The 16,651-nt window shown below is 38.9% G+C and overlaps 1 protein-coding gene across 4 annotated transcripts in view, besides 2 other annotated features; it reads right to left on the bottom strand.

Moving 5' to 3' along the window:
- The window catches only part of MOSMO (modulator of smoothened), an 84,542-nt gene that overhangs the window by 58,708 nt on the left and 9,183 nt on the right, over positions 1–16,651 (bottom strand). The window lies entirely within an intron of this gene.
- Positions 6,072–6,231: a silencer, noted in NCBI's record as "silent region_7259". NCBI's record gives its function as "represses an Ori minimal core promoter by ATAC-STARR-seq in GM12878 lymphoblastoid cells {active_cell/tissue: GM12878}" and the evidence as "EXISTENCE:reporter gene assay evidence [ECO:0000049][PMID:35858748]".
- Positions 6,627–7,826: an enhancer, noted in NCBI's record as "MED14-independent group 3 enhancer chr16:22037440-22038639 (GRCh37/hg19 assembly coordinates)". NCBI's record gives its function as "activates an origin of replication core promoter dependent on BRD2, BRD4, P300/CBP and CDK7 cofactors, and independent of MED14, by STARR-seq in HCT116 cells {active_cell/tissue: HCT116}" and the evidence as "EXISTENCE:reporter gene assay evidence [ECO:0000049][PMID:35650434]".

The raw sequence follows: 16,651 nt of genomic DNA, 5'->3' as shown, positions 1-16,651 counted from the left end.
ATATTCAATAAATTACAAGAGATATTCAACACTTTATTATAAAATAGCCTTGTGTTAGATGATTTTGCCCAACTATAGGCTAATGTAAGTATTGTGAGCATGTTTTTTATTTTATTTTATTTTTTTGAGATGGAGTCTCGCTCTGCCGCCCAGGCTGTACTGCAGTGGTGCATCTCGGCTCACTGCAAGCTCCGCCTCCTGGGTTCATGCCATTCTCCTGCCTCAGCCTCCCAAGTGGCTGGGACTACAGGCACCTGCCACCATGCCCGGGTGATTTTTTGTATTTTTTTTTTAGTAGAGACGGGGTTTCAAGGTTAGTCAGGATGGTCTCGATCTCCTGACCTCGTGATCTGCCCGCCTCGGCTTCCCAAAGTGCTGGGATTACAGGCGTGAGCTGGGCATCATGGCGGGTGCCTGTAATCTCAGCTACTCAGGAGGCTGAGGCAGGAGAATTGCCTGAACCCAGGAGGCCGAGGTTGCAGTGAGCCAAGAGCGTGCCACTGCACTCTAGCCTGGGCGACAGAGTGAGACTCCCTCTCAAAAAAACAAACAAAAAAAGTACAAGACTTGTACACTGAACACTATAAAATGTTGCTGAAACTAAAGATTTAATAAATAGAAAGACATTTCATACTCATAGATTAGAAGACTTAGACGATACTTCCAAGTTGATCTACAGATTCAATGCAATCCTTACCAAAAGCCCAGCTGGGTTTTTGTCATTGTTGTTGCAGAAATTGATAAGCTGATCCTAAAATTTATATGGAAATGCAAGGGACTCAGAATAGCCATAGAATTTTTTAAAGAGAGAAAAGTTGGAGGATTCAAACTTCTCAATTTCAAAACCTATAATACTACAAAGCTATAGTAATCAAGATAATGTAGCACTGGTATAAGGACATAGATCAATGGAAAAAAACTTGAGATTCCAGAAATAAACTCTCACATTTATGATCAGTTGATTTTCAACAAGGGTGACATGACTATTCAATTGGGAAAGAATAGTATTTTTGATAAGTAGCAGTGGGACAATTGGATATTCACATGCAAAAGAATGAGTTTGGACCCCTACCCACACCATATATAAAATTAACTCAGGCCAAGCAAGGTGGCTCACACCTGTAATGCCGAGACTTTGGGAGGTCGAGGTAAGAGGACTGCTTGAGGCCATGAGTTCAAGACTGGCCTGGGCAAGATGGCAAGACCCCATCTCTATAAAAAAATTAAAAAGTTAGATGGGCAGAGTAATGTGCACCTGTAGTCCCAGCTACTTGGGAGGCTGAGGTAGCAGGATACCTTGAGCCCAGGAATTCGAGGCTGCAGTGAGCTATGATTGGGGTCACTGCACTCCAGCCTGGGCAACAGAGTGATACCTAGTCTCAAAAACAAAAGAAAAGAGAACTGTTACAATTCAATATTAAAGACAAGTAATCCAATTTAAAAATGGGTAGAGGGCCAGGTGCAGTGGCTCATGCCTGTAATTCCAGCACTTTGGGAGGCCAAGGCGAGTGGATCACTTGAGGCCAGGAGTTCGAGACCAGCCTGGCCAACATGGCAAAAAGCCATCTCTACTAAAAACACAAAAATTAGCTTGGACATGGTGGCATGCACCTGTAATCCCACCTACTCCGGAGGCTTAAAGCACAAGAATCACTTGAAGCTGGGAGGCAGAGATTGCAGTGAGCCGAGATTGCTCCACTGCACTCTAGCCAGGGTGACAGAGTGAGAATCTCTCACCAAAAAAAAAAAAAAAAAAGAAAAGGGTAGAGGATCAGAATAGACTTTTATCCAAAGAAGATACAGAAATGGCCAATAAGCATATGGAAAGATGCGCTACATCATTAGTAATCAGGGAAATGCGCATCAAAACCAAAAGAGAAACTACTTCATACCCAACAGGATGGCTAGAATCAAAAACACAAATAACAAGTACTGGTGAGGATGTGGAGAAACTGGAACCCTCCTATACTGGTAACAGAAATGGAAAATGGTACAACCACTTTGGAAAACAGTCTGATAGTTCCTCAAAAAGTTAAAGATACAATGACTGTATGACTCAGCAATTTCATTGCTAAGTATATATGCAAGGGAAATGAAAATGTATGTCCATGCAAAAACCTGTACATGGTTCACAGAGGCGTTATTTGTAATAGTCACAAAAAGTAGAAAGGACCCAAATGTCTACTTACTGATGAATGGAAAAATAAAATGTGGTATATCTATACAATGAAATATCATTTGGTAATAAAAATGAAGTACTGATACATGTTGCAATATGTATGAACCTTGACATTATGCTAAGTGACAGAAGCCAGTCACAAAAGACCACGTTATCATTTCCTTTATATGAAATATCCAAATAGGTAAACTGTATGAAACAGAAAGTAGATTAGTAGTTACTTAGGACTAGGGTAGTTGGAGGGGTGCTAGCTAAAAGGTACAGGTTTTCTTTTTGAGGTGACAAAAATGTTTTAAAATCAACTGTGGTGATGATTGTATAACTGTGAATATGCTAAAGAAACAATGAAATGTACACTTTAAAGGGGTAAACTGTATGATGTGAATTATACCTCAATAAATCTGTTTTAAAAAGAAAAGTGGAATTATATTTCATTATAGCTCTTCATTACCTAGTCCCTGTTTCCCCATCCAGAGTCATCTGATGCCTCTCCTTCCCTCAAACTCCTCCTGTTACACTGAGCTTCCAGGACCCCTACATGTAATATATTCTTTTAAACCTCTGAGGCTTCCTTCTACCTGGAACATTCTTACGGCCCTTCCTTCTCTAGCCAAATCCTATCTGTTCTTTACATCTTGGCTTAGATGTCATTCCTCTATGTAGTCGTTTCTAACCTTCCATGCCTGAGTTAGAGGCACATCTAATATGCTTCAACTGCAATATGCACTTAACTACTATTTTAGCACTCTTCTTACTGACTTCCGGTCAACTGTTTAATTGTATCTCCCACTAAAACTGGGTCTTATTTATTGCAGGTTGGCCTAGAGAAGGTAAAACATACTTTTCAAAAAATGGGATAAACTAATCATAAATCAGAATCACTTTGATAATCATTTGTCAGCTCAGAAGAATGCTTAAAATAATAATAATAAAAAAAGACTGGGTGCAGTGGCTCATGCCTGTAATCCCAGCACTTTGGGAGGCCAAGGTGGGCATATCACTTGAAGCCTGGAGTTCAAGACCAGCCTGGCCCACATGGCAAAACTCCGTCTCTACTAAAAATAGAAGAATTAGCCAGGTGTGGTGAGCATGCCTGTAATACCAGCTACTTGGGAGGTTGAGAATCACCTGAACCTGGGAGGCAGAGGTCGCAGTGAGCCGAGATTGCGCCACTTCAATCCAGCCTGGGCAACAGGGTGAGACTCTGTCTCAAAAAACAGGGAGAGGAATAGTTAAAAATGAGTCCCAAACTGCTGGAAATATTTAATTGTGAAGAGAAAAGTACTGATGCATAATTTGCCTAAGAAATATGCACTTAATGTTCAGACACTAAGGAAGTTTGCAAAAGGAAAAATAGTGACACACACTGTCTTAACTGGATAGGCTTTGTGCAGACATACACTTTTAACTTGACTGTTTGGAAAATACGGTTTTGATTTTCAAATACGTTGACTGTATTTGAATCTTTTTCTACAGTGATGTATGATAGGTTCTGGATCCCAGTGAATATCTATCTGCCTGCAGAGTCAGACCCCAGAGAGTACTAAGGCTCAGTGCATTCTTATCAATTCTAAATAAGGGTGAAGGTAGAACAAATAGTACAGACTCCACCTAGAGTCTAAAATAACACAATGATGTCCTTTGTGTAGATTTCTTCAACCTTAAGTTTGAATGTGCTTCAATATGCAATTTTGCTAGGAAACTTCCAGAATCTGCTGGGGAGAGTAGAGTGGAGAAGCATGAATTTATGGTGAGAGGAGTCAGAAGAAAACAATATTTTGAGACTATTATTAATTTTTCTGTGAAGTTGTTTAGCAATCTGGTAACTCAGAAATTCTGGCCAGATGCCATGGCTCACGCCTGTAATCGCAGCACTTCGGGAGGTCAAGGCAGGAAGACTGTTTGAGCCCAGGAGTTTGAGAGCAGCCTGGACAACATGGTGAAACCCCACCTCTACAAAAAGCAAAATAATTAGCTGGGCATGGTAGTGTCCATGCCTGTAGTCCCAGCTATGGGAGAGGCTGAGATGGGAGGATCACTTGAGCCTAGGGCGTCAAGGCTGTGGTGAGCTATGATTGCACCACTGTACTCCAGGCTGGGCAACAGGGAGAAACCCTGTCTCTAAATAAATAAATAAATAAATTAGTTAATTAATTCTACTAAAAGTCCAAATAACTGCTTAAAAGCTTTTAAGAATGCAACAGCATTTTTCTGTCTAGCAGACTTAAGTGTGTAAAGTTACAGGTCAAGTGACTGCAAAGCCACATTTTGGTGACAAAATTGAAGGAGAGGAAAAAGCTTTAAAACTGGTGAATTCTGAAGAAAAGGAAAGAGAATTTTCTGAAGCTATAAGATCTACAATGACATACATGACAGTAAGGTATGCTGGATTTCTTCCCTAGACAGATGACAAGGCCAGAAGACTCTAAATGGCAACTCAAGAAATAACTACAGGCAACCCTATTTCATTTTATGAATCATACATGTATCTAACAGCCCAGAGAAAGAATGCTTTCAAAATTGGAGGTATTTAAAATGTCAAGAATGTATGTACATTAAACCATCTGACTTTTAGGACTTTTAAAAATATAAACATAGCCAGGCGTGGTGGCTCACACCTGTAATCTCAGCACTTTGGGAGGCAGAGGCAGGCAGATAACGAGGTCAGGAGTTCGAGACCAGCCTGGCCAACATGGTGAACCCCCGTCTCTACTAAAAACACAAAAATTAGCCGGGCATGGTGGCAGGTGCCTATAATCCCAGCTACTCAGGAGGCTGAGGCAGGAGAATCGCTTGAACCTGGGAGGTGGAGGTTGCAGTGAACCAAGACTGCACCATTGTACTCCAGCCTGGGCAACAAGAGCAAAACTCCATCTCAAAATAAATAAACAAACAAACAAACATAGCAGTGGGTACAGGAAATAATGCTCTGACAATATACACTCATCAAGCCTATGGGAGTGAGGGAAGGTTAAGTAGAGTATAAACATGGGAGAACATAAAACATGTAATTTACATCACCTTTGGAAAAGTAAAGTTGTAGAAAGAGAAAAATTAAAGAAAATATGACTGAGTAGATTACATATAATAATTCCTAGAAGAGGCTAAGTATAGTGAAAGGTCAATTAAAAAAGAAAGCAGTTGTTTTAGAAGTAAACACCCATCAGATGTTTATAGAGTAGTAATTATGTGATTCTGATGTTAAGATCCTCTCTTTTTAAGTTGTTTAATGGGTGTAGAGTTTTGGTTTTGCAAGATGAAAAGAGCTTTACAGATGGATCGGGGTGACGGTGGTAAAACAATGTGAATAAACTTAATGCCACTGAACTGTACACTTAAAAATGGTTAAGATGGTAAATTTCGTTATGCATATTTTATCAAAATTAAAAAAAAAAAACATAAAAAAGATCCTCTCTTTTCAAATTCCAGGGTCCAGTAGCCCTATCCATATTGCTGAAATGATTATAATAAAACAAATATTATAACTTCTACACTGCTTGCAACTGAGTAATCATAATAAAGGAAAGTTATATTTGTATGGATGGATATATATGCATACGCACACGTGTGTTTGGTATAATGATTATATTCTGAAAACTTGAAGAAGGGAAAACTCCAGTAGTTTAACTGAAGATAGAGATTTTTATTGATTATGACCCTATATACTTTACATCTTCTGGATAAAAGACATACATCTTTTCAAAATGGATGGTACAACCTAGGAAGAGAACTGACACCAATAAATTTGAACTATATAAATCTAATGACCTAAAAAACGATACATTTTAAAAATGAAAACTGTATCCAGATGTTCTTCCAAAAGGTTATAGTTAGCTTGCCACACAACTCCTGGAGACTGCTCTTTGTGGCTTCAGTGAGGCAACTGTCCCCAAAGGAATACAGATACTTTCATACTGAGGCAGAGAAACTGAAGGCAAGGGCTAGGGGCAGGAAACGAATGAGAAATTCAATTTTCTTGTCACTGCACAAGTAGAGTAGGTGTTTAGCAGCTTGCTTTCTCACTTCCCAAACAGAATCTTCAGTGTTTTGGTTCAGAAAAATCTATTTTTGTCCTAAATTCTACTTCAAAACCTTGAGATTAAAATAAAGGGCACTCTGATAAGAAATTTTCTGTCCCTATCACTCATAAATCTGGAGGAGAAAACGGAGAGGAAGAAGGATAAATAATAATAGCTGCCACTATATTTTGAGTGCTTTCTTAGTGCTGGGTGTAGTATTAAGTGCTTTATGTGTGCTCAAGTTAATTCTCAAAACAATTCAATAAGGAAACTCAGTAACAGGCTAAATGACAAGGTACCAGCTAGAAGGAGTTGGTTAGAACATGAACCAAGTCTAATTCCACAGGTGTGCTCAAAGTTTACTATGTAGGAATATTTTTGTATAACGGTTAAATTTTTCTTGAATGTTTGTCCAGAGAGTTAAAACTTTAGAAACATTAACAAAGATGTCTCATAAACACTGATTTCCCCAGACAAGTGGCGCATTTTCCACAAACCGCTATTTTGGACAGAAAATACTAAAATAATTTTCTCCAGGTGTTTAGAAACGCAGTTAACCTAATGAAAGCACTATAACACAGTTTTGCATTCTTACTAGTGATATAAAGCACTTTTTCAAATTAATCTGATTGCCCACCTTACTTCCTTTTAAAATTATATTGAAATCCTAGTCCTAGATTTTCTTGAGAATTTCTCTAGTATATTACATAGAATTATATTTTAAAGCCACACACTAAAGACAGTTTAGGAGTGATTTAAAAAATGGAATTTCACTTTGATTCTGTTAATTCAAGAAGAGGATCTTCAAACACTGTAATTTAAAAAAAACAGAGACTTGCTACACGAATACTTTAAGCAAGAGCTAAATTCCTGAACAGTTTAACTCCTCCTATCATTTTTACTCAGCAGAATTTCAAATAGCAGCTTGTGTACCCAAGTTATTTACATATTTTCTTCCTTAATCATCTCCTTTTCAAAGGACATAGAGTTCATTTAACAACCAGTTATTATGTCCTAGTTTTATTGCTATTTTTATTTGCTTTCTTTAATGAATGAATCATTTCCAAAACCAGTTTGTAAAGTAATACTCATTTCCGCTATTTCACGTAAAAAGCACAGGTCCAACAATTGCACTCTTTACCACCCCTTCCCGTATGTCTCACCACCAAATCACTATAAGACATCCTAAATTACAAACAGATTAATGTCTTTAAGAATGCAATTCTCAGGCTGGGCGCGGTGGCTCATGCCTGTAATCCCAGCTCTTTGGGAGGCCGAGGTGGGCGGATCACCTGAGGTCAGGAGTTTGAGATCAACTTGACCAACATGGTAAAACCCTGTCTCTACTAAAAATACAAAAATTAGCTGGGCTTGGTAGCACGTGCCTGTCATCCCAGCTACTCAGGAGGCTGAGTCAGGAGGATCACTGCAACCCGGAAGGTGGAGGTTGCAGTGAGCCAAAATCGCACCACAGCACTCCAGCCTGGGCGACAGAGTGAGATCCTGTCTCCAAAAAAAAAAAAAAAAAAAAGAATGCAATTCTCTCATATCCAACTTCCAGACTTAGTTATCATACAGACCATAAATAATTGTGACTTGGACACTAGCTAATATTCCAGGAACTAGTTATTGGTGAAGCAGGAGGAATTAGGAAAAAAGCTGTTAGGTCATCTAGGTCATCTCAGAATTTGTAAAGAATGGGTAGGTCAAATACCCCTTAGGAAAGCAGATTTCAAAAAACTAGGCCTGATTACATGGAATGAAATTATTGAAAAAAGGGGGTTCAAATGGTTACTAAGTTCTTGAAAATGTGGTTCTAATAATTACAGAGGGTGTTAATAAGAGAGAGGTACTAAACAAACCAGGATGGTTAAAACAGGACTCATCAGAAACAGCACACTATAAAAACAGCAGTGTGGTATGACTCCAGCATCATTTAATGCCAGGTAAATCATTCCCTTCTTTGAATATGCTTCTTCAACAGCAAAATGGGGACATTTCCCCTGCAGAGCTGTTGTAGGGGGTTTGTTACCTACTAAGATCAGTATTTCTTTGCAGTTCTTTTTGTCCTTAGGTTATATCCCATCATTAAGAGAGCACAGTCAGAGTTTTATGTTGAAAAGTTACTTGATAATTCCTTTTTTCCTTGATGGTTACATGATTAATTTGATGTACAGTTAGGCTCACTGATTTCAATTTGTATTCAATATTGAAATTTACTTTTTTCAACAGTAAGACTACTCTTCTTTACAGTAGTGGTACTATTCATATGAGGTAAACACTGTGGCCAGTTGTCCATGGACTAGAATTTATATGTAAACAGTAGAATCGGTATGGTAACATTTATATCTACAACTTAATATTTATTACAATAAAGTATTTATGATCAATTTTTAAGATAACTGCCTATGGCTCCCGAAAAGACTATAGCTAAGGATCTTCAAAAGTTAGTCTGATTAACTTTAGTTGACACTTACATAGTGCTATGTGCCAAGCACTGTAAGTGTTTTATATACATGAAACAGACCTCTGAGGTATGTTGCCCAAAATCATGCTGCTAGTAAGCTGAACAGATAGAATTTTTTTTTTTTTTTTAGACAGAGTCTTGTTCCATTGCCCAGGCTGGAGTACAGTGGCACAATCATATCTCACTGCAGCCTTGAACTCCTAGGCTCAAGCGATCCTTCTGCCTCAGCCTCCCGAGTAGCTAGGACTACAGGCACACATCATCATGACTAGCAATTAAAAAAAAAAATGTTTGTAGAGATGAAGTCTTGCTATGTTGCCCAGGTTGGTCTCAAACTCCTGGGCTCAGGCGATCCTCCCATCTCAGCCTCCCAAAGTGCTCAGATTACAGGCACATGAACCGTCATGTCCAGACAGAACAGGTAGAATTTGAACCTAGGCTCTACAGTCTGTCCTGTTAGCCACTTTAATATAATGTCTCCTGCATTCTAACTGATTACACATATGTCCCTGCCATAAATAGGAGCCATAAAACTTAAACCTTTTCTGGTTACTTAAATGTGTGACCTTAAGAAAATTATTGTATCATAACTTTCCCACTATTAAAAATGTTTTCGGCCAGGCGCAGTGGCTCATGCCTGTAATTCCAGCACTTCGGGAGGCTGAGGTGGGCAGATCACAAGGTCAAGAGATCGAGACCATCCTGGCCAACATGGTGAAACCCCGTCTCTGCTAAAAATACGAAAATTAGCTGGGTGTGGTGGCATAAGCCTATATAGTCCCAGCTACTCAGGAGGCTGAGGCAGGAGAATCACTTGAACCCTGGAGGTGGAGGTGGCAGTGAGCCGAGATCATACCACTGCTCTCCAGCCTGGTGACAGAACAAGACTCCGTCTCAAAAAAAAAAAAAAGTTTTCAAAGATAATCAACTGCTGTAGACTAAATCTCCTATACATATTTGTAAATATTATTTAGGCCAAATCAACTGCTCTACCTAACCACTAATTTCACTCATTCAATCAACATTCATTAAACATTGCTGGGAGGTAAAGTGAGTCAATTTATTCTCCTGTCTTCTCCAAACCCCACTGAAATGACCAATATAATATACCAAAGAAACTGTCTAGAAGATCTAGATCCAGGATTTCAATATAATTTTAAAACAAAGGTTGGCAACTAATTTGAAAATGTGCTTTATATCAGAATTAAGAATGTAAAATAGTGTTATAGTCCTTTTGTTGGATAAACTAAGTTTCTTAAGAAAATATATATATATATATATAATTTGTACAAAATTCTATAGCAGCATGAGAAAATGACAAGAATACCATCAACAAAGCAGAATCACTGAAGAATTTCTTGAATCTATACAAGAGAAAACAGGTTCACAGAAAAGGAGTAAGTACCTCTGTAGCCTGTATCAATACAGTCAAAAGACAAGAGTCTTCTTCATTAGATAAGTTGACGGATTTTCTAAAAAAAACTCAGTAAAACCCCAAGCTCAGAGAAACAGGAGCTGAGCACAGCAGAGAGCTATTGGTAAAGACAATGGAAACTGACCACTGAGAATGGCTGATATCTGTACCTTGAACTTTTTCATCTGGGTATGAACTGCTTGAATGGCCAAGTTGGAGATTTGCCACAAGAGGCTCCTAGAGAGGAAGGGCAGAGCACAGTAGGAGGTGATGGATAAGAGATACAATCTTTTAGTTAATTCTAGGCTAATAAAAAGAGAAAAAAAGCAGTGCCCAGCAACTTACAGAGGCAAAAAATAAAAGAAATAGCACAGTAGGGAAAACCCATAATGTATCCAACATCCCTGATAACTGTCAAGATAGTCACAATAAAGGATAATTAAATCTTCAATACAGGGTGGTCCACTTAAAGCCAACATCTTACTTAACTAATGGTGCAATTCTAAATGGTTACACGATAATAGCTACCTACTGAATGGTAAGAACCTCAGAAAGAGTATGAGGTTTCTAGGATTAGTCCTATATTAGCAACATATCAACATAAAAGGGTTTGTCTTCTAATCCTAATCCACTAAATCTTATCCAGAGTGGGAGTCTAAAAGGTGATTTAGTAGGCTGATATATGACTGTCTACATTTGTCTTAGTAAGATTCTTTGCTATGGTTTCTTAAGTGACTCAATTTAAAAAATTTTTAAACCCAAAGTATTTTGTCTACAGAATAAAAAAACAGAGTCTCACATTTTACGTTTCATCATAAGAAGATGAATAAGATTATACCATAAATTATCTTGTAGGCTACCTGTGATTATCAATCATCCTTTACATTTACAACCCTTGACTGACACTTGGTTACTGTCTTAGTCCATTTGGGCTGCTGTAACAAAGGACCAGGTGGCTTAAAAGCAATTAAAATTCATTTCTTACATTTTTGGAGGCTGGAAATCTGAGATCAGGGTGCCAGCAAGGTCCGGTTCTGGTGAGGGTCTTCTAGGTTGCAAACTGGTAAATTCTCACTGTATCTTCATATAGCACAAAGTGGGCTAGACCTCTTTTTAATCACCTCCCCAAATCCCCTCTGCCTAATACTACCATATCGGGGGTCAGGATTTCAACATGTGAATTTGGAAGGAGGGGTGCATTCAGTCCATGATAGTGACTAACCTCAACTAATGAGGTTAGGGTTATGGTTTACATACCTAGCCAGTCAGGGAAATCTACCCTAGGACTACAGATTACATCCATAACCCAGTTAGCAAATGTTGGCTAGTGTAGGAAGGTTGAAGGATGCTAGTGGCTTAGTACAATCTGTCATCACACTTGAAAAATCCCCAAATACACATTACCTTTGATATGCAGCACAGCACCTGCATATAAACATTTGGATAGGCTGTCTGATACTCTTAGTGCACTGAGCTGGAAGAAGATAGCAATCCAGGTATCAGGGGCATGGTTAGAATGTACATCGTGAAAGTGATACCGGCAGGGCCTGGGCAGTGGCTCATGCCTGTAATCCCAGCACTTTGGGAGGTCAGGGCGGGAGAACTGCTTGAGTTCAGGAGGAGTTTGAAACCAGCCTGGGCAACATAGCGAGACTACTTTTTTTAATGGAAAAAAAAAAAAAGTGATACGGGCAGCCAAGGATAAAACAATGATATATCCTACTTTAAAAACATCAGATTGCCTTCAGTAACTGTATAGTGGGCAAACAATCAACTGCAATGTTTATGTTCCATGTATCAAATGTGATAAGAGATTAATCCATTTAGTTGCTTAACCACAATAACAGCAGTTACCATGTGTGCCTGTACTGTGGTAGATGTTTCAGATATATTAACTTTAATTCTTACAACCACCCTTCAAGGTAAGAAGTATTATCCCCATTTATACATGAAAAAGCTATAGCTCCGAGGCCAAGAAACATGCTCAAAGCCCCTCAGCTGGTAAACAACAGAACCAGAATTTGAACTGAGTTCTGACTTCTCCCCTATATATATATATTTTTTTTTTGAGACAGGGTCTCACTCTGTCACCCAGGCTGGAGTGCAGTGGTCCAGTCTCGGCTCACTGCCACCTCCACCTCCCAGGCTCATGAGATCCTCCCACCTACGCCTCCTGAGTAGCTGGGACTACAGGAACACGCCATCACGCCGGGTTAATTTTTGTATTTTTTGTAGACACAGGGTTTCATCATGTTGCCCAGGCTGGTCTCGAACTCCTTGAGCTCAAGCGATCTGCCCATCTCGGCCTCCCAGAGTGTTGGGATTACAGGTGTGAGCCCAGCCCCCATACTCTTTTAACTTTCTGAATAAAATACTTTCCTAAGAATTTAACATATCATATACACTCACTTTTATTTTCAAGTAAGAGGATATTCATGAAGATGAAGGGGGACAGGAACTATTTTTCAGTTGGGGGAAAATACAGAATAACAAAATTTAGGTAAATTTTCAAGCACAAACAAAACAACCATGGGAAAGCCAGAATCAGAACCCAGATTTCAACATAAAAGACTTAATCTGCACCTTATCATACTTAAACTGGCATACAAAATACTGTTTTTCTCCTTACTCTATCCAACCATAGAGGTCCCCTCAACGAGCAGTAACCATTCTAGACCAGACCAATGGCCCTTCCCGTGGGCTCAGATGAGGAACATTGGATCCAACCTCTTCCATTTCATCTTGCTTCCTCATGGGAGAGATTATTTACCCATTACAAGTTCCTCACCATCCCCTACCCACCCCCACCACAGCAAACTACACATATCATATGCACTTGCATTCACTCATACGTATCTTCCTCAGCTCTACTGAGTTAACTCTACCACAGGTTATTCCACTTCAGGAAACCTCTTACACATACAATCTCCGTAATTCCTCTGATAGGGCCAGAAAACCCAAAACACTGTTGACATATATAAGAAGAATCTCAGTGAACAACTATATCACATAGGAGGAATGCTGTAAGCTTTGAAGTCAAACCGATCAAGAATAAGAAAAATAAGCTGCACTTTCTTGTTCCTTTTTATCTTTTGAAAATGCAAATAGTAAAGCAACTGTATTGCTTTCTACTATTTTGTTGTTGCAGAAGTAAGTATTTCAACTACAACATGGACTTGTGGGCTAGCCTAGAAATCTAACTTCCGTATTGACCCAGAGAATCAACAAAACAACCTACAAATTAAGTTTCATCTTATAATATTAAAGTCAGGGCTGGGCGCGGTGGCTCACGCCTGTAATCCCAGCACTTTGGGAGGCCGATGCGGGTGGATCACCCGAGGTCGGGAGTTCAAGACCAGCCTGACCAACATGAAGAAACCCTGTCTCTACTAAAAATACAAAAATTAGCTGGGCGTGGTGGCGCATGCCTGTAATCCCAGCTACTTGAGAGGCTGAGGCAGGAGAATCACTTGAACCCGGGAGGCGGAGGTTGCAGTGATCCGAGATCAAGCCATTGCACTCCAGCCTGGGCAACAAGAGCAAAACTCCATCTCAAAAAAAAAAAAAAAAAAAATTAAAGTCAGGAATGATTATATAGTAGCTGGACTTCATTTTCTAAATAAAAACCAACTGATACTTTTTTTTTTTTTGGAGATGGAGTTTTCGCTCTTGTTGCCCAGGCTGGAGTGCAATGACACGATCTTGGCTCACTGCAACCTCCGCCTCCTGGGTTCAAGCGATTCTCCTGCCTCAGCCTCCTGAGTAGCTGGGATTACAGGCATGTGCCACCACGCCTGGCTAATTTTGTATTTTTAGTAGAGATGGGGTTTCTCTATGTTGGTCAGGCTGGTCTTGAACTCCCGACCTCAGCTGATCTGCCCGCCTCGGCCTCCCAAAGTGCTGAGATTACAGGCGTGAGCCACCGCACCTGGCCCCAACTGATACATTTTTTAAAAAAAAGAAGCCTGAATTCTATGGATATGCAGCTAATTTGATATGTAGCAATTTAAGTATCATACTTGTGAAAATGAGATAAGACTGGGAGTGCCAAATATTCCTGTCTTCTGAGCTCTAGTCCCTTTCTTCTTGCATATCCTACTATCACCTCAAACAGAACATGTCTAAATCAACTCCTCACTTTTTACAATCACCTCACTCTCTAAATTCCCAATTTTATTCCCTAGCCCAGGTTCAAAATCTTAGTGTTAACCATAACATTTCCTCTTTCCTGCCCTGTGCAAGCTTAGACTGAATGCTGCCTAAGATACAAAGATCAACAAATCATATTCCCTGCTCTCAAAGAACTTTAAAAAAATCTATACTACAAAAAAATTATACTAGAAAATAGGGCAAGTACCACACAAATAACCATGACACAGATATGCTACCATAAAAAATGTGCAAAGTGTTACCAAGGGGTTGGAAAATCACTTTAGGTAAGGGATCAAAAAAGGTTTTATGAAGATAGCAACTGATATGCTCGGAAGATGGGTAGGATACTGATAAAACAGGGACTGGAGAGAGTGAGAGGACCAAAGAATTACAGATGAGAATACAGATTACACACAGGAAACAGAAAGTAATACAGAGGGGCTAGAATGTACATTCATGCGGGGAAAAAAGCAGGATCTAAGGCCAGAAAGTATTATAAGTTGGAGCCAGATTGTGAAAATCCTTGAGTGTCTTTTGTCCTGTGGAAGATGAAGTCACTGAAGGTTTCTGGTACAAGCACATGCAATAGTTAAGAGCCAGGATCCACTGTGTGACATTAGGCAAGTGACTTCTCTGTATTTTCATGAGGCTGTCTAAATAACAGCACTTACACAGGGGCATTGTGGGGATCAATTAACACATGTAAAGTGTCTAGAAAAGAATCTGTCACAAAGTAAATGCTATACAAGTATTTATTATTCTATTTGTTCTTTAGAAAGATAAAGTAAGTTGCAATACAGAGAAATGGACTGGAATAGAAATTTCACTGCCTCCTCTCTACCTTTACTCATGCCATTCCCTTTTCAAGAACAAGAACCACCCAAGTCTTCCTTATTACTCATTATTAAATGTATCATCTGTTAAGCTCAAATTCCACCTCCTCTCTGATTGCCTGATCCTATGCATATGTTGGTACATACTCACAAGATGTAAGACATGCAAGATACAATTTTATCTTCCCAGGGTATAGGGTACCTCAAGGACTTTTTTCATTTGCTTAAACATAATCTCTCTGATTATTTCAGTACAGATTCCTTACAGACCACAAATACGTCAATAGCATTTGTTGCAAGATGGTCTGGAATGAAGTCCAATCGCATAGGGAATATCTATGGGAAGATTTTTAAAATATTCATAGTAAATTAAAGATTTCTTTTATCAAAATGATGGTACCTTATAAATCAAATGGTCATATCTCTTTGACAGTCTAAGTGGCCTTAAAGATTTTTGTCTTTGGAGGTCAGTGGCCTGGTCAGCAGAACTGATCTGAACATGGCCTATTTTTGAAAAGAACTTCTATTATTATGGCTGAAATTGGACCCAACCATGTTCCAGGTAAACAACTTACTGTGAATATATTGCAATAATGAAATTTTGTTCTTCCTTTTTCTTACTTGACCCACCCAACTGCATTTTTTTCTACTCCTGTTTAATCTCTAACTATAGTAGAATATGGTCCCTAGTTGAACAGATCTATATTAAAAGTCAACAGCTGCCTTTTTGCTCAATATATACAACGGCAAGTGTCAAAATGCCAAATGTGATATTTTATTTATAGCAAAGCTAGTATAATGAGACACACAAAGTGCAGCCTTTTGCTAATTAAAAAAAAAAGCAGTGATTCAAAGATTTGTCAGTTTGCTTCAAAAGTGAACTGGAGTCACACACTGAAACTTCCCTTAAGCAAACTATACATGTTAGTTGGTACATATTCACAAATACATGTAAGTACCATTGATAGCAACACCCAAACCCAAATGCTCTTTTTTTTTGTCAACTCTAAAGCAATAAACCCCAAAGGAACGTCACATTCTACTTGCTCATTGCATATTTGGCAAGAATTCTCCTCCGTGTAATTTGCAGTTAACAAGAGAATGCACAGTAAAGTTTACAAACACAGTAAATTTAGGTGAAATACACAGTAAGGGTATATTATTGAAAAATGGTTTTAATCCAGGTACCTATTTTTAGGTATCCTGATATTCAAAGATCTTCAGGTTTCCTCATGGCTCTTATCTAAGCCTCTTTAGGATTTCTACAACAGCTTTCCCAACATTACTTTTTCATCAGTTTGTAGTTGATAAAGGATGAAATAACTGCTACTTTCAATCTGTTGTTATCAATCGGATCAGGTTTTCTAATTATAAAGCTGCTAGCTGCTTAGTTGGGCGGGGAATTCTAGAAAGTACTTGGAAAAAAAGGTGTAGCTTCAGAACTTGAAAATACAACATTCTGACAACCAAAAAGACATGAATGTCATGTTATATAAACCATCACAAAGGTAAAGCTGTAAATATGAAATTTATACCTATATACTTGTCACTGCTGTCACCGTACAACCTAATTTCCTGGGTCTCTTA

The sequence above is a fragment of the Homo sapiens genome, chromosome 16 (genome assembly GCF_000001405.40).
Source record: "Homo sapiens chromosome 16, GRCh38.p14 Primary Assembly".
NCBI classification, from domain to species: Eukaryota; Metazoa; Chordata; class Mammalia; order Primates; family Hominidae; genus Homo; species Homo sapiens.
Note: the sequence above shows the minus strand (reverse complement) of the source record. Positions and strands in the feature narration are given on the sequence as shown.